At 47.6% G+C, this 25,547-nt stretch overlaps 3 pseudogenes across 1 annotated transcript; all 3 read left to right on the top strand.

Moving 5' to 3' along the window:
• Positions 4,206-9,070, top strand: GOLGA2P2Y (GOLGA2 pseudogene 2 Y-linked; annotated as a pseudogene). The gene is made up of 9 exons (NR_001555.2): positions 4,206-4,248; positions 4,435-4,513; positions 5,633-5,984; positions 6,281-6,338; positions 7,695-7,769; positions 8,190-8,278; positions 8,534-8,722; positions 8,812-8,904; positions 8,987-9,070. The product of NR_001555.2 is annotated as a GOLGA2 pseudogene 2 Y-linked (transcript).
• On the top strand, positions 7,821-8,079 carry RN7SL818P (RNA, 7SL, cytoplasmic 818, pseudogene; annotated as a pseudogene).
• On the top strand, positions 12,968-13,573 carry CHRFAM7AP2 (CHRFAM7A pseudogene 2; annotated as a pseudogene).

Genomic DNA, 25,547 nt, shown 5'->3' with positions numbered 1-25,547 from the left:
GTTTCATTTGCAAGGCTTAGAGAGGCCAGGTGATTCTAGAAAAATGGGCCTTGTATTTGTTTTAAACCAGTAAAGAGCTTTAAGTGCTTATTAAATTGAAAGCTTTGTGCTCTTACTTATTTTGTATTTTATTTTATTTTATTTCTTTTGAGATGGAGTCTTGCTCTGTCACCCAGGCTGGAGTGCAGTGGCATGAGCTTGGCTCACTGCAACCTCCATTTCCTGGGTTCAAGTGATTCTCCTGCCTCAGCCTCCCAAATAGCTGGGATTACAGGCACCCACCACCACACCTGGCTAGCTTTTGTATTTTTAGTAGAGATAGGGTTTCTTCATGTTGGCCAGGCTGGTCTCGAACTCCTGATCTCAGGCAATCCACACACCTCGGCCTCCCAAAGTGATGGCATTACAGGCGTGAGCCACCCCACCTGGCCCAAAAGCTTTGTGTTTTTAAAGATATTAGACATGTTTCTTGTTCTAAAAAAAATCTTAACAATAATGTAGGAGGATAAGACAAACAATTTTCCAAAAAAGAGAAATCATTGTGATTATTTTATCCTCCTGGAATGTTGGATACTATAGTCTGCTTCATTAATCAAGCATGCTATGGATTTTCCATTTTTATATGATCTACATCTCAAAAGGTAAAATGTACCAGGTCATGGCCCCCAACCCAGCCACAGATCCCCTCTGATGACAAGACCGGTGCCAGAGTCCATACTAATCCTGTGGCATACCAGACTGGGCCCCCCAACCCCAGCACCTCTGGGCTCCCCCCACCAAAGTCTTCTCAGTCAGCCCCACCCCTTCAGCAAGCCACTCAGTCCTTGCCCTTGCCAATCACCACAGGGTGAATTTGGGAGGGTGACTCCTGGGGCTCCTTGCTCCATACTTGGCCATCACCTTCTGCTGCCCCAAGCCCAACCTCCCTGGGCTCTTTGGGCTTGTGTCTCCCAGGACCTGGGTCCCCCAGCCCCAGGCCCTGCCCTCACCAGTCATCCCTGGGTGACTTTGGGCTGGTGACTCCTGGGGCTCCCTACTGCAGACTCTGCCCTCCCCTCCTGCTGCCGCAAGCTCAACCTCCCTGGGCTTCTTGGGCTGGTGTCTCCGAGGACCTGGGTCAAAACCCTGTATTTCCCTCCCCCATCATGGAGTGGCGACTCCGGCATCGCACTGATGTCCCCTCCCCTGGGAGGAGTGGAATGCAGTGATGTCACAGTGCCCCTAGGAACTGTCATTACTGCTGCAAGACCGGCCTTTGATCTTACAACCCAGTCCCCTAAGTTTTCTCACCCCATTTCTGGTTCCTCTGGTTGCAGCCTAAATTTCCAGCTGGAAGAGGAGTGGAGACTATGGGACGTATGAGCAAGAAGTTTCAGGCTGCCTTACTCCCTTAACAATGTCTAATTGACAGTGGGAAAAGCTTACACTTCCCCTGTGAACTCAAAATGTTGACAGTATCTCTGGGTGGCAATGGGAGAATGGGTTTGGTTTGGTTTTCTCCCAGGCTTCTACTTTCCAGAGAGACTTTGACAATTTTTTCTGAGTTCTCCACAGTTCTGGGACCAGACTGCCCTTCAGTCAGTGGTCTCTGAGGTGAGATTTGCCCATCTTCTGTGGAATAGATCTTGGGAAACTGAACTTGACAGCTTGAATCTTCTCATATCATCTCAACCTGGGGTACTTTGAGTGCTACAGGATAAATGTGGGACATCTTTCTGAAGCATCATTTTCCCTTGATTCTCTTGAGAAAAAATATTAATGTTCTTTTTTTTAAAATTTTTATTATTATACTTTAAGTTTTAGGGTACATGTGCACAATGTGCAGGTTAGTTACATATGTATACATGTGCCATGCTGGTGTGCTGCACTCATTAACTCGTCATTTAGCATTAGGCATATCTCCTAGTGCTATCCCTCCACCCTCCCCCCACCTCACAACAGTCCCCAGTGTGTGATGTTCCCCTTCCTGTGTCCATGTGTTCTCGTTCAATTCCCACCTATGAGTGAGAATATACAGTGTTTGGTTTTTTGTTCTTGCAATAGTTTACTGAGAATGATGATTTCCAATTTCATCCATGTCCCTACAAAGGACATGAACTCATCATTTTTTATGGCTGCATAGTATTCCGTGGTGTATATGTGCCACATTTTCTCAATCCAGTCTATCATTGTTGGACGTTTGGGTTGGTTCCCAGTCTTTGCTATTGTGAATAGTGCCACAATAAACATACGTGTGCATGTGTCTTTATAGCAGCATGATTTATAATCCTTTGCATATATACCCAGTAATGGGATGGCTGGGTCAAATGGTATTTCTAGTCCTAGATCCCTGAGGAATTGCCACACTGACTTCCACAATGGTTGAACTAGTTTACAGTCCCACCAACAGTGTAAAAGTGTTCCTATTTCTCCACAACCTCTCCAGCACCTGTTGTTTCCTGACTTTTTAATGATTGCCATTCTAACTGGTGTGAGATGGTATCTCATTGTGGTTTTGATTTGCATTTCTCTGATGGCCAGTGACGGTAAGCATTTTTTCATGCGTTTTTTGGCTGCATAAATGTCTTCTTTTGAGAAGTGTCTATTCATGTCCTTCACCCATTTTTTGATGGGGTTGTTTTTTTCTTGTAAATTTGTTTGAGTTCATTGTAGATTCTGGATATTAGCCCTTTGTCAGATGAGTAGGTTGCAAAAATTTTCTCCCATTTTGTAGGTTGCCTGTTCACTCTGATGGTAGTTTCTTTTGCTGTGCTGAAGCTCTTTCGTTTAATTAGATCCCATTTGTCAATTTTGGCTTTTGTTGCCATTGCTTTTGCCTCATTTCAGAGAGAAGTCTGGTATACGCTTGGAAACCTATGTGTCTATCATCCCTAAGAACATTAATGTTTATTGAGAGTTTAATAAACATTAATGTTCTTAGGGATGATAGACACATAGGTTTCCAAGCGTATAGCAGACTTCTCTCTAAAATGAGGCTTGGGTTGTCCTCTTTCTGATAAATTCCCAGATTTAACAGAAAAGCTGCCTTCTGCCATGAGGACACATTGATATGAAAGTGTGAGAGGTACTCGTGCACTTCTTTACACTAACAGACATGTGAGGATGTATGACTCTAAACTACACGGCCTACAGTTCCTGCCTGCTTAATGTTTACTTTTCTACCACTGTCCCTGGTTTTGGTCCCTGGAAGCTGCTGATTCATGGCAAAACCCCAGAGCTTGGAGTCAGAAGACTGAGTTTAAGTTCCAGTATTGCCTTTTTCTTTCCTTCTTTTTTTTTTTCTATCCATGATATCAATCACTCTCAGTCACTAAATGATTGTGACAACATCTTGTACAGTTGTTGGTGGCATTAAACCAGATGGTGTATAAGAGTATTTTGTCAAAACTGTAAAGCAGGATGTGGCTATAGGGGCTGATTGTTCTCATGAGTGTTGCTGCTCTTCTTTCCCACAGTTAAAAGAATATTGGCAGAGGAAGAGCCCTGGCATTCCAGCAGGAGCTAACAGGAAAAAGAAAATCAATGGCAGTAGCCCTGACACAGCCACTTCTGGTGGTTACCACTCACCTGGGGATGTGAGTCTTGGCTGGCCAGGGTCCTGGGGACAGGGGGCCTAAGGGGCAGTAGGGGGTAATTTTTAAGATTGTAGATGGACTATTGGGTACTGGTTAAGAATTCTGGGTTTGAATCCTGCCTCTCCGTCTGCTAATGATTGATTAGGGATTGATTAGCATATGATTTAGGGCAAGTTGCTTGAGGTCTTTGGGTCTCTGTTTTCACATCTGCATAATAGAGGTGGTATTTTTGACTTCCATTTGTGAAGTTTAAATCAGATTTGTTATTGCTTATATGTGAATCCTTAGTACATGGCCTGCTGTAAACACCCAGGACACCCAGGAAATGGTTGTTGTTTGATTTTCCTCATCCCCAGTCTCAAGGGGAAGCCAGTTAATGAGAAGAGACACTTGCCATCAGGCTGTCCCTTTAGGAGTCACTGAAAGGGCCCCAGGGTGGGATGGTGGGGAGATAAGAACCATGAGAGAAGTTGGCACAAAGGAGTTATGGGACAAAGGGTCCAAGATAGGCAGAAAAGAAGCTTTTGCCAGTTGATGGGGAAGAAAGGAAATCAGAGGGCTTAGACAGTGAGGGGGGACAGAACATCTCCATGTGCACTCTCATCTCTTGCAGTCAGCAACAGGTATCTACGGGGAAGGCCATGCATCATCTGCTACCCTGGAGGATCTGGAGGTAAGAGGCCCTGGGCTGAGGTGCAGTGACCCTGCAGGCCAGCCCTCCAACCTCCTCCCACAGCAGGGGCTTGTTGCCCCTCTGCCAGCTGAGACAACCCACACCCTCCACCAGCCCTAATGATTGTTCTCTCTACCCCTCCCCACAATCTTCCTCCAACTCCTCCTCTCTGCATGCACCTCACAGCCAGTACCGAGAACTAGCAGTGGCCCTGCACTCAAGCTCCGCAATAATCAGTCAACTCAGTGAAAACATCAATTCACTGGTAAGAGTCCAGTGGGGTCCCCTGATTCCAGCTGGTCAATCCTGGACTCCAGTTTTCCCTTGGTGCCCTGAAGAAAGGGGCCAGGAGCCCCTGATGCCAAGGGCAAATGGGGAGCTGGGGCACCCAGGCCTCACCTGGAGGGACCCCAGAGCACAGAACATGCAGCATGGCTCTTCTGCACTGCCCTCTTTGCTGACTCTCTCTTCTCCAGACACCCTTGCTCTAGTTGTTGCCACACATGCCCTGGGGTTGTCATCTCTCAGGGAAGCACTAGCCTGACTGGTTGTCAGAGGCCCGTATTTCTGCCCTGCCTCAGCCCCTAATTTGCTTTTTGAGTCTGGACAAGCCATCTCTCCTCCTTAGGCTCATGTTTCTGGAGGAGGTAGAGAGTATCAAAGGTCACTGTTAGCTCTGAGATTTAAAGGCCCCTAGAATGGAAACCTCAGGGCCAAGGGCTCCTGTCTGTCCTTTGCTGTCTTATATCTCTGCTATGAAGAATTGTACGTGCTCAGTAAATGTTTGTTGAATGAATGCACCTTTCTCAATCACAAGGTGGCAGAAGGGGGGTGGGACTTTCTCAAACTCTGTCTCTAGAGGTTCAGCAGCCCCTCTCCAGGGCCCTTTCCCCTCTGTGCTTTGGGCAGGTCCACGCATTGAAAGAGGGGAAGCAGCATGAGATACATTGGGTACAGAAGCTTGGGAGGAACTTGTTCAAACTCAAAAACCAGATGGTTAAGATGGGACTGGCATGACCTAGGAGCAGGACTGGCATCAGAGGGCTGTGAGGGTGACTTAGAATGCCCCAGGGAGGAGGGTGGATGGAAGGGCTTTGAGGCAGAGGGAAAGAGGTCTGTGCCAGGAGATGGCAAGTCTTGTCATCTCCATGAACCTCAGTGTCCCTATCAGTAAAGAGGGAGGAGTGCCCATTGTCAGCCACCCACAGTGCTCTCTATCTGAAAGTGACTTTGAAGATTGGCTACCATCCGGGTGTGAGGAGTCATTAGCAGTGAGGCCAAGTTTGGGAAGCCTGAGAGGAGGAGCTGTCCAACAAAGGGAGGTTTTTTTTTTTTTTTTTTTTTTGAGAGTCCAGAGGCCCTTATTGTCTGCTTCCTTTCTCAGCTGAACCCCTGGCCCCAGAGCCCCCAGCAGGGCCCTCTGAGGTGGAGCAGCTACAAGATGAGACCAACCACCTAAGGAAGGAGCTGGAGAGTGTGGGAAGACAGCTCCAGGCTGAGGTGGAAAACAATCAGATGTTGAGTCTCCTGAACAGGAGACAGGAGGAGAGGCTGCAGGAACAGGAGAGGCTGCTGGACAAGGGGTAGGAGCTGCTGGAACAGGAGAGGCTTCAGGAGCAGGATGAGAGGCTGTGGCAGCAGGAGACTCTGTGGGAGCTGGAGAGGATGCTGGAGCTGGAGTGGGAAGCCCTCTACAAGCAGCAGGCCGAGCCCCACAGCAGCTTTGAGGAGCTGGTGTGTTGCCCCACCTGGGGAGGCTGCCCTCTTCCCTAGCCCTCAAGGTGGGGAGGCTGCCCTCTTCCCTAGCCCTCAAGGCCTTTGTTTCCCCACCTGTAAAATGGGGCATTGTGGCCTTCATATGAAATGGTACTTCTAAAGGCACCTGTGAGCCAGAGCCCTGCTCTGATGGCTGTGGGAGAGGGTATGATTTTTCTAACCTGCCTCCACCCTTCCTGGTGCCATGGGAGGCAGACACCAAGTTCTGGGGTCTCCAGTTTTAGTGGGTGGCCACTGATTGCTTCTCTCTGTCCAGAATAATGAGAACAAGAGTGCACTGCAGTTGGAGCGGCAAGTAAAGGAGCTGAAGCTTGGTGAGCTGAAAGAGACGGTAACCTCTGACCCATCTAATAATGGTTGGGAGGCAGTCACCAGCCTCTGGGAAGGGGAGGTGCCAAGACAGAGGCAGCTGCAGCCTGAGGACAGGTGACCCCAGCACCCTCCAGGGTAGTCCTATGACTGTTTCTTGCTTCCTGCCCTCTGACGTTTAGAGGTGGGTAGCCCTGGGCTCCTCCCAGGTCTGGACATCATCATCCCAGCTAGAGGCATGGAGCCCCCCAATCACAGAGGAAGAGACAGTGGTATAAGAGGCTCCTTGGTGAGGTGTGGTGGCTCACACCTGTAATCCCAGCACTTTGGGAGGCTGAGGTGGGACAATTACTTGAGGTCAGGAATTTGAGATCAGCATGGCCAACATGGCAAAACCTCATCTCTACTAAAATTAAAAAAATAATAATAATAATTAGTGGACCTGGTGGTGCATGCCTGTAATCCCAGCTACTCAGGAGACTGAGACACGAGAATCACTTGAGCCCGGGAGGTGAAGATTGCAGTGAGCTGAGATTTCAGCACTGCATTCTAGCCTGAGACACAGAGTGACACTGTCTCAAAACAAAACAAAACAGAAAAACCAGACTCCTTAGATTGAAAGTGGATTGCGGCCTCGGTTCCACTGGTCATAATTCAACTACTTTGCATCTCTAAGTCTCTGTTTAACTTCAAAAGGAAGTTAGCCTTTTCCTTGTGGAGGTGCTGAGGATTAAATGAGATGATACGTGGAAACATTAGGTATGTGGCACACTTAGCAGATGGTGGTTGGCTCCCCCTGCTTTTCCACCAGTCTGTCGCCTACAGTTTAAATGCTGGGAAAAAAGACATGAGATTTGAGGCTGTGGAAGGAGGCATGGGGTTCTAGGCAAAGGAGGCAGTCTCGTAGGCCTGGAGCAAGGGGCCAGGGGACTGAGCAGGCCACAGAGCCCCACAGTGTCCTTGCTACCCTATTAATGGGCCAGGAATCTGGAAGCCAGCCACCACATGCCCTCATGCCCAGCGTCTTCCTGCACGTGGAGCTGAAGAGCCAAGAGGCTCAGAGTCCACAGCAGCAGCAAGACCAGTACCTGTGTCACCTGCAGCAGTTCGTGGTCGCTTAGTAGCAGGTGGCTGCTTATCAGCAGCTGGCCTCTGAGAAGGAGGTGCTGCACAGGCAGTTACTGCTGCAGACCTGGCTCATGGACCAGCTGCAGCAGGAGGAAGCTCAGGGCAAAGCGGTGGCTAAGATGGCCCACCAAAAGTTGCAGGAGACCCAGGGGAGGGAGTTGTTGAGGACAGGGCTCCAAGAGGGACAACCTGGCAACCTCTGTACCTTCTCACCCTCTTTCCTGGCCCCTTAGGAGAACCTGGAAGCTACCAGCCAGCAGAAACAGCAGCTAAAGCCCAGTTGAGCCTCATGGCTCTCCCTGGGGAAGGTATGGGAGACCACTCAGAGGAAGAGGAGAGAGCCCCAGGAGGAAAGGGGGACTGTTAGCAGCGTAGGATTGAGGAGTTGGAAGAGACCTTTAAGACAGCTGGTCATTATGCCAACTGGGTGTCCGTACTAAGTTCGGTATCAGTATGGTGACCTCCTGGGAGCGGGGCCATCGGGTTGCCTAAGGATGGGAGAACTGGCCCAGGTCAGAAAGGGAGCAGGTCAGAATTCCTGCACCAGTCGGTAGTGGGACTGTGCCTGGGCAATATAGCAAGATTTTGGTTCTTAAAAATAAAGAACAGCGCATTCCCCTCTGGGGAGGGGCTGGCTCAAGGTTACACAGTGAGTGTAGGGGCAGAGGTGGGCCCACTGTACCTCCCTTGTTGGGTTGTCTGAGGACCCCTCTGGCCACCTCCCACAGGATATGGAGGAGGACATCTGGACAATGAGGAGGAGGCACCTCGGCCCATGCTGAACATTCCAGGGGACCTGGAGAGCCGGGAGGCCATGGTGAGCCTGACTTTCCCTGCCCCTACTTTGCCACCTTCCTCTGTAGTCCCTCTGAAACCCCCTTATGTTCTTGGTTTCCCTGCCTTCTGACTTCTGTGGACTTTCTCTCCTTCCGGGAGCCAGTGGTCAGACACCATTTCACCTGTGACCAACAGGTGCACTCTGTGAGGCCCAAAAGGAAGGGGCTGTGCTCCATCTCCCTGCCCTGGTTGTTATGTGTATACCCCTACAAGAGTACTCACCTCTTGCCTTCAGGTGGCATTTTTCAACTCCGCTGGAGCCAGTGCCCAGGAGGAGCAAAGCGTGTGCTGCCAGCCCCTGGCTCACCCAGTGGCCTCATCCCAGAAAAAGCCAGAGGCAGCGGCCCCAGCCCCAGAGACTGGGGGTGAATCTGTGTGTGGGGACACCCACTGGGCCCTGCAGGAGGCCATGGAGAAGCTGCAGGTGAGTAGTCCTGGCATGGGCCAACAAGGGTGGGGTCGGGACAAGGCAGGTGACTCCTGACATGTGACCCCATTATTTTGGCTCCACAGCAACTTTATGGAAGGAGAAGATGGACCTGAAGGAGCTGGTGGAGAAACTAGAGCTTCAGTTCATCCACCTCTCAGGACAGACAGACACCATGAGTAAACGAGAGGCCAGGGCATGGCAGGGGGAGCTGCAGGGCCATCTGAGGGGCCCCAGCATCTGAGCCGTGTCCTCCTGCAGGAAAGTACATCAGCCAGGGGGCAGTGCCAAAGACGCAGCACTGGGAGAGGAGGACATCGTCAGGCTGGCCCAGGACCAGGAGGAGATGAAGGTAGGGTGTGCAACATCTCTGTGGGGGTGGGAGTGAATGTCGGTGCTGGCACCGGCATGACAGCTAACACCCCTTCCTCCAGGTGAACCTGCTGGAGCTGCAGGGGCAGGTGTTGCAGCTTGTGGGCGACCACAATGAGCAGCATGGCAAATTCTGACCATTGCCCAGAACACTGCTGATAAGCCCACTCTAGGAGCCCCAATCGCCCAGGAGCTTGGGTGTGCTGACAAGCAGGGTGGTGAGTAGAGCCCTCAGGCGGGGTGGGCAGGCAGGAACAGGGGAGGCTCGCACTGTGCTCAGATTCCCACTCCCCTCCCTCTCTCTGAAGATCTTTGTGAGGTGAGCCTCACTGATAGCGTGGAGGCTGCACCAGGAGAGGACAGGGAGGGTGCTGTCACAGCACCCAGGCAGTCCACCCACAGTTCAGACCAATGCTCAACCCCCTCAGGGTTCCGTCTTCTCTGGTCACCATCTTCCAACCCACTGGCCCAGGGCCACCTCTTGCTTGGGGAGCCCCACCCAACAGCCACCAAGCCTGACAGAAGGAACACTGCTTGAACCAAAATGGTGAAGCTATAAGGGATGGCTGGCTGGAGTGAGTACCAGAGGCCCCTCTGGGCCGTCTGAAAGCCCAGGGTCTTCTGAGGGACCCAGGGGAAGGCAGGAAGCGCAGGTAGCTTGATGCCATTGGCCATAGACTTCTAAGTCTAACAGGGGAGCCTCAACTGGTTGGTGGAGGGCTGCAGGTTGCATAGGTGAGGCTGGGCCCTTCCTGCTGGGAAAAGCAGAAGAGGAAGACTCCATGGCAGGAAAGGGAAGTGAGCTCTCTAGGCGGAGCTCAGCTGGGCCAGCATGCACTGTGGTCCCCTTGGCTGAATAGCACAGGCGAACCCTAGAAGCAACAGGCCAAGGTGCATGAGCCTGCTGGCCAGCAGTAGTGCTTCAGCAGGGGCCAGGGTCCCTGCCTTCAGTCGCATGCTAGCAGCTATCATGGTACCTGGTAGGGAGGGAAGGGGGCTGTGTGTCCTTCCATGGCCTATGAAGTGTGTTGTGGGATGACCATGTGTATAGGACTCTCAGGCTTTTATCCTAGATCACCACTGAATTGCTGACAAATAGAGGATGTGGGACCCTGACTACCACCCCTAATCTGCAGTGGATTTGGCTCTCAGCACTCCCAGGCTGGGAGCTGGATCCCTGCCCTGGCAGCATGACTCAGACCACACGACAGGTACGGCATGCCCAGTATGATGTTCCCAGGTCTCTGGCCGCCTGAGTCCAGCCCCTCACACAACCCCCTCGAAGCTCCCAGCCCCTACACCATAAACCATGAGCTCTGTGCCCTCTCTGATGGTTCCATGTCTGCCAGGTTGGGCATGGAGCCCCCAGGCTCAGCCATGGAGACCTTGAGCAGTGGCACTGAGTCCCATGGCTCACAAGGAGGGAAGTGAGACAGCCAGCAGCACAAGGACAGAAAAAGGAAAGAGCAAGTCTGCAGCTCCAGAAGGAAGGGGCAGGCCTGGGGGTGGGGGACACACACGCACACGCCGGAGTGTGCACACACATGCTGTGAGGCCCCACGGCCCGCATGCACACGCTAACACACATGCCCACAAACAACACGCATACGTCGCCCTCCCCACCACCTCCCGGTGCCCAGCACCCTCACCGGCCGGCACGTGCTGCATGGATCTGGGGCGTGCAGCCACTCGGCACACTGAAGTACATGCGTGGGCAGAGTCACAACACAGATGCTCACCCGCACACAGAGGCATGTGCACCAGCTCCCTGCACACTCGTGCCTGGCGTGCTCAGAGGACCACCCATGCTGCTCAGGGAGACAGGGCTTGCTCACTAATGTCCGGCTGTCATTTCTCCACCTAAGAGCCTTCCATGGCTCCCTACTGCCTACAGCATTGAATCCCAAAAAGTCATACTCTTTGGACTTTGAAGGTTCTCCACCCGGTGCCCCACCCTCCCCACAGAGCTCTTCCTCATTCTGTCTCTGTTCCCTGCTTTGGCCAGTGGCTATCCTCAATGTGACCCACACTACACTTCTGCCCACACTGCAGCTCTTTACCCAGTTACCCTCCAGTTCCTCACAACGTATGCCTATCTCAGTCATGCCCCGGACTGCATTGAAGCCAGGCTGCCTTGAAGAAACTCTCCCAGACTGCCCTTTTCCCCAAGGCAGGGTCATGATTTGCCAAAGGTTTCGTGTGTGTTAGCAAGACTGGAGTCGGAGCAGGCATCAAACTTTGCATCCCATATGTCACACCTCACCATAGACCTGGGTGCCAAATAGCCTGAAGAGTCTGAACTCATGTTGGCAGTTAGCAAAGTGCTCCTACGGCCACATCTGCAGTTAACATAGTATCCCTATGGCCACTGTCTCCCTTGATCCCCACAGCCATCCTAGGAGAAAGGCAGAACGTCATTTGCTAGAAGGGATGCTGAGGCTCTGGGAGGGAAAGGGACTTGCCTAAAGCCCCAGGGTGAAGCAGCATCTCTGGACTCTCATAGACAGCCTAGAGCTGCTAGCATTCCCTTAGGATCTGTGCCCTTGGGCCTGGATTAATTTTTTCCTCTGCAAAGAGCCATCTGTAGGGCTAGAGGCTGGCAAAGCCTGACTTATTACTGGATGCCAGTTCCTTTGCCTGACTTTCAGCGATTTCTACCTTACGCTCGGGTTTTATGTTGCTTGTCTCAACACTATCACTTCTCATTCCTCCACAAGTTGAATTGCTCACTCCAGCCACTTGAAGCATGCTGTTCTTAACACAGTTAGCTCTAGGCACATGGTTGGTGCTAAAAAGGAAAAAAAAAGAAGATCGTTATGTCAATTTCATTGATTAACAAAAGCGATGGCTCCACTGCAAAGCAAAGTTGATACTCCTGGGTTCAAGAGCCTTTTAGACAAATGGATCTGAGCTAAAACATGATCATGCACTCATATGCATCTGTCTCGGTCTGATGAGATAATCTGGATACTTGGTTGTTATCCTTCAGCATTTTCCTGCCTCATTAATGCATGTGTAGCCAGCACAATAATCATCATAGCTAATAATGGCTACAGCTGAGGGCTTTCCTGAACCAGGCAGTGGTTTTAAAAACTTTAACCCCTAAAGCTGAGGACTTTCCTAAGCTAGATAGTGGCTTTGAAAACTTTAAAGTTTTCACATAGACTGTCATTGAATAATTTCTGTTTTTCAGATCAAGAAACTGAGACTTACTATCACATTTGGGATTAAGCTAAACAAAAAAAAAAGAAAAGAAAAGAAACAGAGGCTGAACGCTGTTAAGTATTTCACAGCCAGCAGGAAATCAGAACTTGAACCCAGGCAGTCTAGCCCTGGGATCCTTTGCCCTTACCCATTATCCAGTGTTGGCTACACAAAACTAATGGGTACATATTTTCAACTATAGTGTAAGTGGGTGACATATTTTTCACTATATTTTATGTAGGTGACTTTCAGTTTGGGGGTATTCTACTTACACAATCTATTGAGCTGGATATTAACTGAGAGCAAACAGAAACTAATGAACTCTGAAAAACATAAAACATGAGCAACATGACATCACTGCAAGAGACAAAACAGCACATAGCCTTCTTGTGACTGTATTTTGCTGACAGTCCATGAGCAGATAGCCTGAACTCAGCAGTGCTGTTCCCTTGGGAAACACACACACACACACACACACACACACACACACACACACACACACGAGTTGGTGGTTTTCTGCCTCCACCCCCACCCCAACACACACACGGGTTGGTGGTTGTGCTGCCCGGAGCCTCCAGTCCGCGAGTGTGAAGAACGGACCAGATGGGTCCAACAGTGCTGGGTCAAGGCGAGGAGGGGGCAGCCGGAAGCGGGCGCATGCTCTGGACTCCTGCAGCCGCCGAAACGGGTGCGCAGGGGGCGCGCGGTTTGAGGGGTGAGGGGTGACGGGTGTGAGGGGCGAGAGGGACGGGAGCAGGCTGGGGGCAGCCCTTTCCCAGGCGGTAGCGGGGGCTGTGGTGCTGTTGCCCTTTTAAGCTGCGGCTTGACAGGAGCAGCGCCTCCTGTCGGTGGAGTCTGTTAGAAGGGGAGCAGCCGCCCAGGCCTCCACACAGCTCCCCGCAGAGGCCTTGGTGCCCCTTGCCATTTTCCAGCCCTACTGTGACTAGAGTTGAGGCAGCAGGGAGAGGCGGAGCTGGGAGAGCACCGCCGAGAGGTCCCGCGGGTGGTTGCGGCCGTCACAGCGGCTCCCGACGGGCTCACCTTCGCGCCCCACCTGCCAGAGGTGAGAATAAAATGTCCGTGTGAGGGTTCAAGGCCAAGCTGAAGTTGTTGGACTCTATCTTCCACAAGAACCAGGAGCCGCTGCCGCAGCTCATGCTCCACTGCAACATCACGTTGAGGCGCCCAGTGGCGGCCTCACGGGGCAGGGCGAGGGCGGAGAGGAGGCGCCCAGAGTCCCGGGACAAAGGGGAGCCTGCCCGGGAGAGGCCCCGGTTCCCCAGGCGGGGCGAGCGCGCCCCTTTCTCCCGCGACTGGCCCGCCCCGCTGCGTGAGGCTTGCGTGGGAGGAGGGGGAGGGCGCGTCTCTCTGGCTCCTTGCCACGGGGCTGGCTTGGGGGCTGCTGGCACCTCTCGCCCCAGTCGCTGCGCCCTGAGGTGGGAGCCCGCGTCGCCCGCAGCCCTTTTGGGGCCCATGATCGCCCTCAGTCAGCTAGCCTGCTCCCCTGGACCGCGACGGGGCGTGGCAGGGTGGCTCCCGCTGTTGTTTGAGCCCAGTGAGGGAAGGGGAAAGGCCTTTAAGATTTTCGTTTTTTTGGCCGGGTGCAGTGCTCATTCCTGTAATCCCAGCACTATGGGAGACTGAGGTAGCTGGATCTCCTGAGGTCAGGAGTTCTAGACCAGCCTGGCCAACATGGTAAAACCCTGTCTCTACTAAAAATACAAAAATTAGCCGGGCATGGTGGCAGGAGCTTCTTGAGATGGAGCCTCACTCTGTCGCCCAGGCTGGAGTGCAGTGGGGCGATCTCGGCATACTGCAGCCTCCATCTCTTGACAGTCCGTGGGTTCAAGCGATTCTCCTGCCTCAGCTTCCCGAGTAGCTGGGATTACGGGCGCCCGCCACCACGCCTGGCTAACTTTTGTGTTGTTTAGTAGAGACGGGGTTTCATCATGTTGGCCAGGCTGGTCTCGAACTCCTGACCTCAAATGACCCATCTCTGCCGCCCAGAGTTCTGGGATTACAGGCCTGAGCCACCGCGCCCGGATCCAAGGCCCTTAAGCTTAAATGCCTCGTTCTTCAGTCAGGTTTTCCTTGTTCCCGCATGTTCAGCCAATCGTGTTTAAGGAGAAACTAACAATGAAAACGGACTCGTTGATGGAGGAAAAGTTGGAATGCAGCCTCTGGTGCTGTTTGAGCGATCCCTCTATCCCGGGTCGCTGCTGTGTTCTGGAAAGGCGCATTGTACCCTGGATGCAGCAGGTAAGAGTCCTGTCCAGGTGCTCTGCCCGCTTTTCCTTTCAGGCTTCTGTATCAGCTGTTTTTCCCCTGTAGAATGTGCCCCTGACAGCCACCCGCTAACCCTACCCAATTTGTCTTTACGTGTCTGACCATCAAGGCTCTTCTGGGTCATATTTAATTCATGCTGATATTTCCCCTTCCTCCCCTCTTTAGTCCTCACTATTTTTGCTTTGGTTATGTTATGCTGTATTCTGTAAGGCTTTAAAAAAATTTTTATGGTGGCAGGGGAGAATGTTTTATAATTATGCTTTGTGCTTTTTATCTTCCACTCAATAAATGCTTAGTAAATATTTGTTTTATTGGATGTATGAGCCTATTCTACCTATATTGTGCTTGAAAAAAAATCTTAACTGCCTTGTAAGTTAACTGCTAAGAATTTGTCAAAAGTGCAGACATAACATCAAGAACTTGTCATGGATAGTACAAAAAGGTCTCTAAGGGCTTGATGGAAGCCTGTAAATTGACTTCCTATGAAAGAGAGTGTAAGAAGTGAAAATGTAAAGCATGACTGGAGAGCCAGAGTGATGAAGCCAGGGTCCCTTTCTCCAGATCCTTTGTAACAGTGTTATGTGATCTCTTCTAGAAGATCATTCTGAAAGATAATGCCAACTCAGAACCTAGGAAACCATCCAGTGGGTTTCTGCAGCTTAGGTGTTTCCAATCCTCATCAGCACGGTAGTTTTCTCTGCCTCAGTTTGCTTACAATGATGTTCTCAGTAGCTACAATTGCTTTCTGTCTTTGAATACTTAAGCATTTTTTTTTTAGATGACAGGGATATATGTGCATTTTTATTTTACCGAGTGTTAGAATTTTTACTCTGCTTTTGTGGGCTCTGGGTTAGCTACTTGGTTGTTGTAAAATGATTAGCAGGGAAAGCTCTGTGTGTGTGTGTGTGTGTGTGTGTGTGTTTTAAGTTTCTTTTGTTGTCAGAGGACTTCGAATTTTATTTTATATGGTAATTCTTTCAATTTACTTTATTCTCCACCCCACATTTATTGAACAGCAAAGTATGAAAGTAATGTGTCCCATAAGCAGCCTTCAGAAGAATTACAACTGCTTTATATCTGAAATTCTTTTTTTTATTTTTTATTTTGAGATGGAGTCTCACTCTATTACCCAAGCTGGAGTACAGTGGTGCAATCTTGGCTTACTGGAACCTCTGCTTCCCAGGTTCAAGCAATTCTCCTGCCTCAGCCTCCTGAGTAGCTGGGATTACAGGCACCTGCCACCGCACCTGGCTAATTTTTGTAGCTTTAGTAGAGACAGGTTTCACCATGTTGGCCAGGCTGGTCTTGAATTCCTGACCTCGTGATCTGCCTGCCTCAGCCTCCCAAAGTGCTGAGATTACAGGTGTGAGCTACTGCACCTGGCTGAACTTTCAAGAAGAAGTTTGTGCATCAGTTTTCAAAAAATTATGATATCAAAAGATAGCTGTGCCCTACATTTGGAAAGATACAAAAACTGAACATACTGGCAGGCAGTTTTGCTTGCTGGTGCTTGAGATAGAGGCACACATTGGTCTCGGTGGAATTATGGAGAAAAATAGATAAAGTTATTTCTAAATAAGACCAAAAAATCCTTTTCTTAAGCAGTGACAGGTAAAGAGGTTGTCTTGACTAACCTTCAATTGTGTTGCCCTTGCTTGAGACCGTTTTATGGTGGGGATGGTAGTGGTGATAAACTTGCTGGAAATTTGTCTGCTTATAGTAACCTTTGTGGTAGCTGTCACAGACAACTTCATCCTCACAGGCCTTGAAATTAGTATAAAACCAGCAGAATGGAGGAGAAACAAAGGACCTGAATAATTAGATGCTTAGATAATTGTTCTGTGTTTTCATAACTGGTGAAAAAGAGCAGTATTAGAAGCACTTACACATTCTATATAAGGAACACTGCCTGAATTTATATTGTGATTTTTGAGCACCATTAACTGTTTAAAAACAGGCATATTGTAGGTAATATTTTAAAGACAAACAGAAAATTTATCTTTTCAAGATGGATCTAAAACTTATCAAAATTACAAAATTTAAAACGTGATTGAAAAATATTAATGCATAGGTTTAAATATTGGTCATTTTAAATGTCTTTCAAAATAGATTGTCTCTTAAATATTAAACTGAACAAACTTTGAACATGTTGTAGAGTTTGTGCCGAAGGTTAAATTTCCTGGGGTGATGGATATTTTGTAATATGAACAACAAAACCTTCTTATTTTAAGAAATTTAGAAAACTTTTAGGCAAAACTAGAAAATACTACCTATGTAATTCTACCACTCAGCAGGTGCCACTGTCAGAAATTTGTATCTTTCCAGTCATCTGCTCTTTTCTCCTGTGCTTGTATATGTTTCCTCTCCCTTAAAAATCAGATATTTGTTTGTAATCTGCTTTTTCACTCAACAGTATTGTAGATCCATGTTATAATTTACTCCTCTACATTGCCTTCAGTTATTGTGTGCTTTCTGTTGGATGACTGTACCATGTAGTCAGTCATGTTTTCTGGTACTGAATGCATACGGGTATGTGTGTGTGTGCGTGCACTTGTGTGTGCGTATTTTTTTGTAACTTAACTAATGCTTTAGACATGAGTAGGTAGACCTAAATCCTTGAAACCTTCCACGTGGTGACTTTCAGTTCTCATTGCTGAATTTGTTTCCAGAGATGGAAGAAATTATATTGTATGGGAACTTTTTTTTCTTTTTTTTTTTTTTTTTTGAGATGAAGTCTTGTTCTTGTCGCCCAGGCTGGAGTGCAATGGCGTGATCTCACTGCAACCTCCACCTCCTAGGTTCAAGCAATTCTCCTGCCTCAGCCTCCCGAGTAGCTGAGATTACAGGTGCATGCCACCATGCCTGGCTAATTTTTGTATTTTTAGTAGAGACGGAGTTTCACCATGTTGGCCAGGCTGGTCTTGAACTCCTGACCTCAGGTGATTTGCCCACTTCAGCCTCCCAAAGTGTTGGGAATACAGGTGTGAGCCATTGTGCCCAGCCTTTTTTTCATCTCAGTACCAGCTTTTATTTATCAGATTGGTAAAAATGTTAGAAAGTGTGCAATGAAATGGGCATTCTTACAGTCATGGCAAAAAATATAATTATCTTTGACTTTCTAGAAAGTAGTTTGGATTTCGAGAAACTTGTTTGAATTCTCCCTGTTTAGGCAGGATGAATTCTCACTACCCCAAGGTGGCCAACCTTGTCCCTGTGATTCCATCTCTCCCAGAAAGAGAGGTCTAGTCTCAGGGAAAACCCAGATTTGTTTGGCTTAGCCCACCTGACAGCTAATCACTGGAAATGGGGTGGGCTGGTAGAATCCTTTGGTCAGGCTTTGTGTTGAAAGAGAGGTGGAAAGATGGGAGGGAGGTAGCAAAACTTGCCTCAGTGGAACTATGTAAGTTAATATAGAATGGCAAAGGGATGTTTCTTCCAAGGAAGAGATTCTAGGGAAGGAAGAAAGTGGAGGGGAAGGCAGCAGTTCTCCAAGTTTTTGGGTCAGTATTCCTTTACACTCTTAAAAATACATTGAGGGCCCAAGGAGCTTTGGTTTATGTAGGGTATATCTATTTGTATTTATCACTAGAAATTAAATCAGAAATATTTAAAATATTCTTTAAAAGCTCACCACATATTGTTATAAATGCTTTTATGAAAAGAAAATTTCTAAACCCAAAGTAGTACAGTCTTACATCTTTTGCAAATTTTTTTGATGTTTGATATGTCATTTGCATGATGTTTGACATGTCATTAGCAAATTGATATGTCAGTTTGCTTCTGCATTCAATTTATTGTGTGATATTTTCTTGAAAAAAATGTGAACAAAGGCCAATCTCATACAGATAACCATTTTAGATCATTGTGGATATATATATATTTTTTGAGATGAGGTCTTGTCCTGTTGCCCAGGCTGGAAGGTAGTCGTGTGATCACAGCTCACTGCAGCCTCAGTCTCCGGGGACTCAGGTGATCCTCCCACCTCAGCCTCCAGAGTAGCTGGGACTACAGGTGTGTACCACCACACTTGGCTAACTTTTTGTATTTTTTGTAGAGACAGGGTTTTGCCATGTTGCCTAGGCTTCTTTTTTGATACTCCATCAAATCTTCGTTTTTCTTGAACTTTGGATCTTCCACCCTTGCATGATATTACAACATCGTGCATTGGTTACTTATAAAATAGTGGTTCAATAAGATCTTCTACATATTGATACATTTGATTGTACAGTATCGAAATACATTCATCAATACCACCATCAATCTCATCAGAATACTTTCGGAAAGCAATGGTGGACATAGGTTTTCTAAAATTCTGATTTTTTCTTCAAAAGCTTGAATTTTATTAGTAATTTTGTTATTGAATTTTATTATAGCCTGTCTGTTGTTTTCCTTGAAATGACAGCATCTCATTTTTTGAGAAAATATCTTCCAGAAATGCAAGTTAAAACAACATTTTTTGTCAGTCAGCCTTTCAAGTAAAAATGGTATTCCATTAAAGTGGTTAATTAACTTCATGACTTAGTCACTCAAGTGTTTTTTTTCTCAGGCAGCCTGTAGGAATGCTCATGTATACTTCCCATTTCATCACTTGAAATATTAAAAAGATATACTCAAGGATTTAGATTTAGTAGAATATTCACTGCTTCATCATAGACATTCTTTTTTTTTTAAATTTTTGAGATAGGGCCTTGTTCTGTCACCGAGGCTGGAGTGCAGTAGCATGATCACAGCTCACTGCAGCCTCAACTTTCTGGGTTCCGTCAATCCTCCTGCCTCAGCCTTCCAAGACGCTGGGACTACAGGCATGCAGCCACTGTGTTCAGCTAATTTTTGTATTTTTTGTAGAGATGAGGTTTCACCAGGTTGCCCATGCAGGTCTTGAACTCCCAGGCTCAAGTGATCCCCCTGCCTGGGCCTTCCAAAGTGCTGGAATTATAGACATGAGCCAAAATTCCCAACCTTATCATAGACATTCTTAAATGAAACTGACCTTTTGTTGCCCTTCCTTTTTATTTTTATTTCTGGAGACGGAGTTTTGCTCTGTTGCCCAGTCTGGAGTTACATAGGTGCAATTTCAGCTCAAGGCAACCTCTGCCTCCCAGGTTCAAGTGATTCTCCTGCCTCAGCCTCCTAAGTATTTGGGAATACAGGCATGCACCACCACACCGAGCTAATTTTTGTATTTTTAGTAGACATGCGGTTTCACCATGTTGGCCAAGCTGGTCTCAAACTCCTGACCTTAGGTGATCCGTCTACCTCAGCCTCCCAAAGCACTGGGATTACAGACGTAGGCCACCATGCCCCACCCGCCCTTCCTTTTTAAACCTTTCCTGTGCATAGTGAAGAATACCATGACTACTAGTAGTTTGGTGTTACTGCCTTTGTTTGTGCTAAAGTACCAACATTTTTACCCACCATTGTATTTGCACACTTACAGCAAATGTCACCATGTTAGTATTCCTGTCAAAATAGTTTGGACTTGGGGGTCTGAGGGCCGCACTTTGGGAACCATTGAAAAAGGTACTTAGACGTACTAGATATCATATCTTTTCATCTACAAGGTTTTTAAAAACTTGATTTCAGTTAATTTTTTTTTGTAATTTTTAAAATATGGTTTTGAGGGGTTTCAGTCCAGAGCAACAACACATATTTTATTTTGCTTATGCTGAAGTTTACTAGACAAATACTAACCTAACAGAATGAAGTCCTAAATCTAATTGCAATTTCCTTAGCCAAAAGAAAAAAAAAAAAACAAAATTAAAAGCGTAAAAATAGTCCATATGGTGTATTCTCAGTGTATGCTGAAGAATTTATAGAAGAAAATGCAATACTCAGTAAGTGGTGTTCTTTAAGAATAGGATTGGCTGGGTGTGGTGGCTCATGCCTGTAATCCCAACACTTTGGGAGGCTGAGGTGGGCGGATCATCTGAGATTAGGGGTTCGAGACCAGCCTGACCAACATGGAGAAACCCCATCTCTACTAAAAATACAAAATTAGTGGGGCATGATGGCACATGCCTGTAATCCCAGCTACTCTGGAAGGCTGAGTCAGGAGAATTGCTTGAACCCGGGAGGTGGAGGTTGTGATGAGCTGAGATCGTGCCACTGCACTCCAGCCTGGGCAACAAGAGCGAAACTCGGTCTCAAAAAAAAAAAAAAAAAAAAAAAAAAAAGAAAAAAAAGAATAGAAGTAATTCTGAAGAGTTTCTTTTAGCCTGTAAAGAGATTTGGAACACAGTAAGAGGGGAATGAGAAGAATGAGAATAGTAAAATAAACCATTATTGAAGAGATATACTGTTAATGATGTCCTCCACCAATACAACTTGTTTTTCTTTTTTTTTTTTTTGTTTTTTGAGATGGAGTCTTGCTCTATCGCCAGCCTGGAGTGCAGTGGACATCTCAGCCCACTGAAACCTCTGCCTCCCAGGTTCAAGTGATTCCTCTGCCTCAGCCTCCTGAGTAGCTGGGACTACAGGCACCCGCCAGTGCGCCCAGCTAATTTTTTTTGTATTTTTTTAGTAGAGATGGGGTTTCTCCGTGTTAGCCAGGACGGTCTCAATCTCCTGACCTCGTGATCCGCCCACCTCGGCCTCCCAAAGTGCTGAGATTAGAGGCGCGAGCCACCGTGCCCGGCCCATCTTGTTTTTCTTAAAAAGGAACCTTCAGTAAATATTTGGTTTCTGTGGCTTCAGCTTTAATTCAGATTACAGTTTTCAAAGCAGTGTTGCCTAAAGTTGTTTGTGCAAAATTGTTTTCTGTGACTTGAACCTAGTTATTCTGAAGCTAATATATAATAATAATGGTTTTTCCCCAATTTATAATAGAGAACAGTACAGAGTAACAGCGGGAATGTCTGTTAGTGGGTGAAAGCACATAATGCATAGTTCATTAGCTTTTTAAAAAAATCACATGTAATTGTGTTACAAAAATATATGTATAGTAATGGCATTTAGTTGGTATTACTTGGTTTGTGTGATAGAATAAAATATTAGAATTTTATGGTGTTTGAGTTAGTTATCTATTGCTCTGTAACAAATTTAGCAGCTTAAAATAACAAACATTATCTCAGTTTCTGTGGGTCAGGATTCTGTCTAGTTTACCTTGGGTTCACTGGCTTGGTCTCTCACCAGGCAGTGAAGATGCTGGTGGTGGCTGTGATCATCCCAAGGCAGGATAGGGAGAGAATCTGTCTCCAAGCTCAGGTTGGCAGGATTCATCTCAGAGGCTGCTGGACTGGGCCTCTGTTTCTAGATGGCTATTGGTCAGAGGCCTTTCACAATACCTTGTCATGTGGGCCTCTCCATAGGGCACCTCATCACATGGCAACTGGCTTCCATCAGAGGGAGCAATGGAAAGAGCAGGAGAAGGGTGACCAAGGCAGGCATCGTAGTCTCTTTGTAGCCTCACCTCAGAAGTGATGTTACTTTTGCTGTATTCTCTTTGTTAGAAGCGAGTCACTAGGTCCAGGGGTGGAATTTTACAAGGGTGTGAATGGCAGGAGGTGATGGTGATCAGGGCCATTTAGAGGCTGCCTACCATTCTTAAAGAAAATTGTTGACTTCTATGAGCTGTGGCAGCAGACAGTGCTATGCAAGGAGAATGGCTGTCTCAGAAGTCCAGCTCCTCACATGGGTTTTAATGTGTTGCCTTTTCCCCCATACATTTTGTTTCAATCCATGGTCATCTTGCCATTTAGTGGTGTGGTTTAATCGCATATTTGGGTTAGTCTGTATGTAAACATTTAACATAGGTGTCTCTGGTTTAAACAGGAATCCTATTCATCTTCTTCACCGATAAGGTCTGTGGACTCTGATGAGCCAAATCTGACATCAGTTCTGGAACGTCTAGAAGATACTAAGGACAACAGCAGTTCGGTGAGGAAAGAAACCAAGCTATTTTCTCTTTTTCTCATAAACATTATATTTAGAAATTAAATGTTAAGTGATAATATTATATAAAAACATGATTAAAAACTATAAACTTAGAGGAATTAAAGTCTGGGTATTTTAAGTCCTCCAAATCTTATTTACTACCTGGTTTCTCTTTATTATTTCCCACTTGTATAATCTTAGTTTAGATTAGCAATTAGGGATCTCTTTTTCCCTGAATTCTAACCATTAAGCCAAGCAAGCATTTTGGGTGGAGACCACTAGCCAAGGTGGGAAGTAGAAAAAAGACCAAGGTGGAAGTGAAGGGAGAGATGGGGAGAATGACACCAGAACTAGTGGGAGGGAATTGCCTTTTCTTTCAAGGGTCTGTAAGTCTGCAGTAAAAGTCAAAGGTATTCAAATAGGAAGTTTTGTTTTTGTGTTTAGTATATAAAGAGGCATAACTTTCCATTTTGCAAAAACTTTAGAAACCTTTTTTCTTGATTATAAAACTTATAAGCAACCGTTATTGAGAAGATTAGTAAAATATAAAAAAAATAATCTCACATAATTTCTCTACCTAATATAACCACTGTTGACATGATAGCTAGTTTCTATCAGTATGTATTGCTTCTTTGTTATCAAAGTACTTATACCCTTACAGATATGTTTAAATAGTTGAGGTCATATTCTATAAATATCTGTAAATAGCTGGGTGCTGTGGCTCACACCTGTAATCCCAGCACTTTGGGAGGCTGAGGCAGGCAGATCACAAGGTCAGGCGTTTGAGACCAGCCTGGCCAATATGGTGAAACCTCATCTCTACTAAAAATACAAAAATTAGACCGATGTGGTGGCAGGTGACTGTAGTCCCAGCTACTCGGCAGGCTGAGGCAGGAGAATTGCTTGAACCCAGGAGGCAGAGGTTTCAGTGAGTCGAGATTGTGCCACTGCACTCCAGCCTGGGCAACAGAGCAAGACTCCATCTAAATAAATAATTTATATATACACACACATACACACACCCTCATATATATATACACATATATGTGTGTGTATATAGACACACACACACACACACATACACCTACACATGGCCGATTGCCTCGCCTCTAGCACTGGGAATCAGTCACCGTGCTGTCCTTGTGGAGTCTTGTGGCCCAACAAGAGGAAGCTCTCCCCTGACATTGCCCCTCCAAAGTGCACCACTTCCAGTGAGCCTCCCTGTCATGCCCGGCCTGTGGACAGCCAGCCCCCGCCATCCCTCCCACCCCCCACCAAGCATGGGGGTGCTGTGTAGGCAGCTGTGTGGCCTGACAGTCTCTACCAGTCCTGCTGTCCCTTGGCTGAGAATCAAACCCATTTCTGGATGACAGGGAATGTGTCCTATGCTGGCTGTGTTCTCTGTGGAGCTCACGGGAGGGAGAAGACCAAGCCATTTCTAGGGTGCTGTCAGGACCAATGAAAAGGTCACACTCTTTCCAAGAGACACTTTTCCTGGAAAGCCTCTGGAGCTTAGCTGGCTCTTATCCTGTGATAAGCCAGAGGCTCTGCGGGGTGAGGGAGCATGAACCCTCTTCACCCCACCCAACGGGGACCTGTATAACTCTGCCAGTCTCTCACTTGGCCTTGCTGCTGTCCTCTGAGACTGCCTATTCCTCCCTCTCTGTGACTCTACACCACCATCACCTCCTCCAGGAAGTCCTCTGGATTGACTCCTAGCTTATTACATCTTTATTGTGCAGACCCTCTCCATTCAAAGCCCCTCTTCAACTGCCCCCCACCGCCCCACCACCTCCAAGACAGAGATTCTGGGTTCCTGCAACTGCAGCCCCTCAGAGAGTGTAAGAGGGTCAGAAAAAGGAGATTAGGAAATGAGGGAAGCAGCGCTGTCAGAGTTTCCAAAGCCCTGGCCAGCAAGGCATCAGAGGCCTCTGTTGGGGTGGGGGCCTCCCTGGCTATGCGCTCCAGCAGCACAAGGCAGCCTCTGTGAGCTTCTCCCGCTTAGCCCTACAGGAAGCAGGAGGGCCCAGCCTCAATGGACTGATTCAGACCCCAGCACTCCAGAAAATACCTCTGCTTCCTGCCACCATTCCACTCTGGCCAAACAGCCTCTACTCTCTTCTGCTGGGAGGGGGCCACAGGCAGGTGGTTCAGTGGTTAGGGCCAACCATCTGCTTCAGTTCCTGTCTGGCCCAGATCCCTGATGTTGACCATGCCTTAGTGGGTGTATGTATACCTTTAGTGCAAGGGTGGTGTGACGGTTAATACTGAGTGTCAACTTGATTCGGTTGAAGGCTGCAAAGTATTGATCTCCTGGGTGTGTCTGTGAGGGCGTTGTAAAAGGAGATTAACATTTGAGCCAGTGGGCTGGGGAAGGCAGACCCACCCTTAATACTGGTGGGCACCATCTTTCTAATCAGTTGCTAGTGAATATAAAGCAGGCAGAAAAACATGAAAAGGCAAGACTGGCCTAGCCTCCCAGCCTTCATCTTTCTCCCACGCTGGACGCTTGCTACCCTCTAGCATCGGACTCCACGTTCTTCAGTTTTGAGACTCAGATTGTCTCTCCTTGCACCTCAAACTTGCAGACAGCCTATTGTGGGACCTTGGGATTGTGTAAGTTAATACTTGATAAACTCCCCTTTATATATCTATATATCTATATTTATATCTATATCTGTCTATATCTCCTATTAGTTCTATCCCTCTAGGGAACCCTGACTAACACAGGTGGGTAGGCACAGGGAGATGTGCCCCCTTCCCTGTGGGTGCTGGGTAGGTAAATGTTTAGCAATGGGCTTTCTTGGGGAGAGGGAACCCTGATTTTCAGTATTTGCCTCTTTTCCTGGTATAAATATTCCCACTGTGGGCAGTATCACATGGCTCTCAAAATTCCTGAAAATTCAACAGTTGGCTCCTGGCCACTGCTGTGAGCCGTTCCAGCTGGTGACTGTGGTGGCTCCATCCTGCAGGGCCATGTGTCCCCACCCCTTGTGCTATGGCCTCCCTCACTTTAGTGTGCTGTGTTTTGCTCTTAGGAATCAATGTCTTTGCAGATAAGGCACCCCAGTAGGTCACCACCTGCAGT

The sequence above is a fragment of the Homo sapiens genome, chromosome Y (genome assembly GCF_000001405.40).
Source record: "Homo sapiens chromosome Y, GRCh38.p14 Primary Assembly".
NCBI classification, from domain to species: domain Eukaryota; kingdom Metazoa; phylum Chordata; class Mammalia; order Primates; family Hominidae; genus Homo; species Homo sapiens.
Note: the sequence above shows the minus strand (reverse complement) of the source record. Positions and strands in the feature narration are given on the sequence as shown.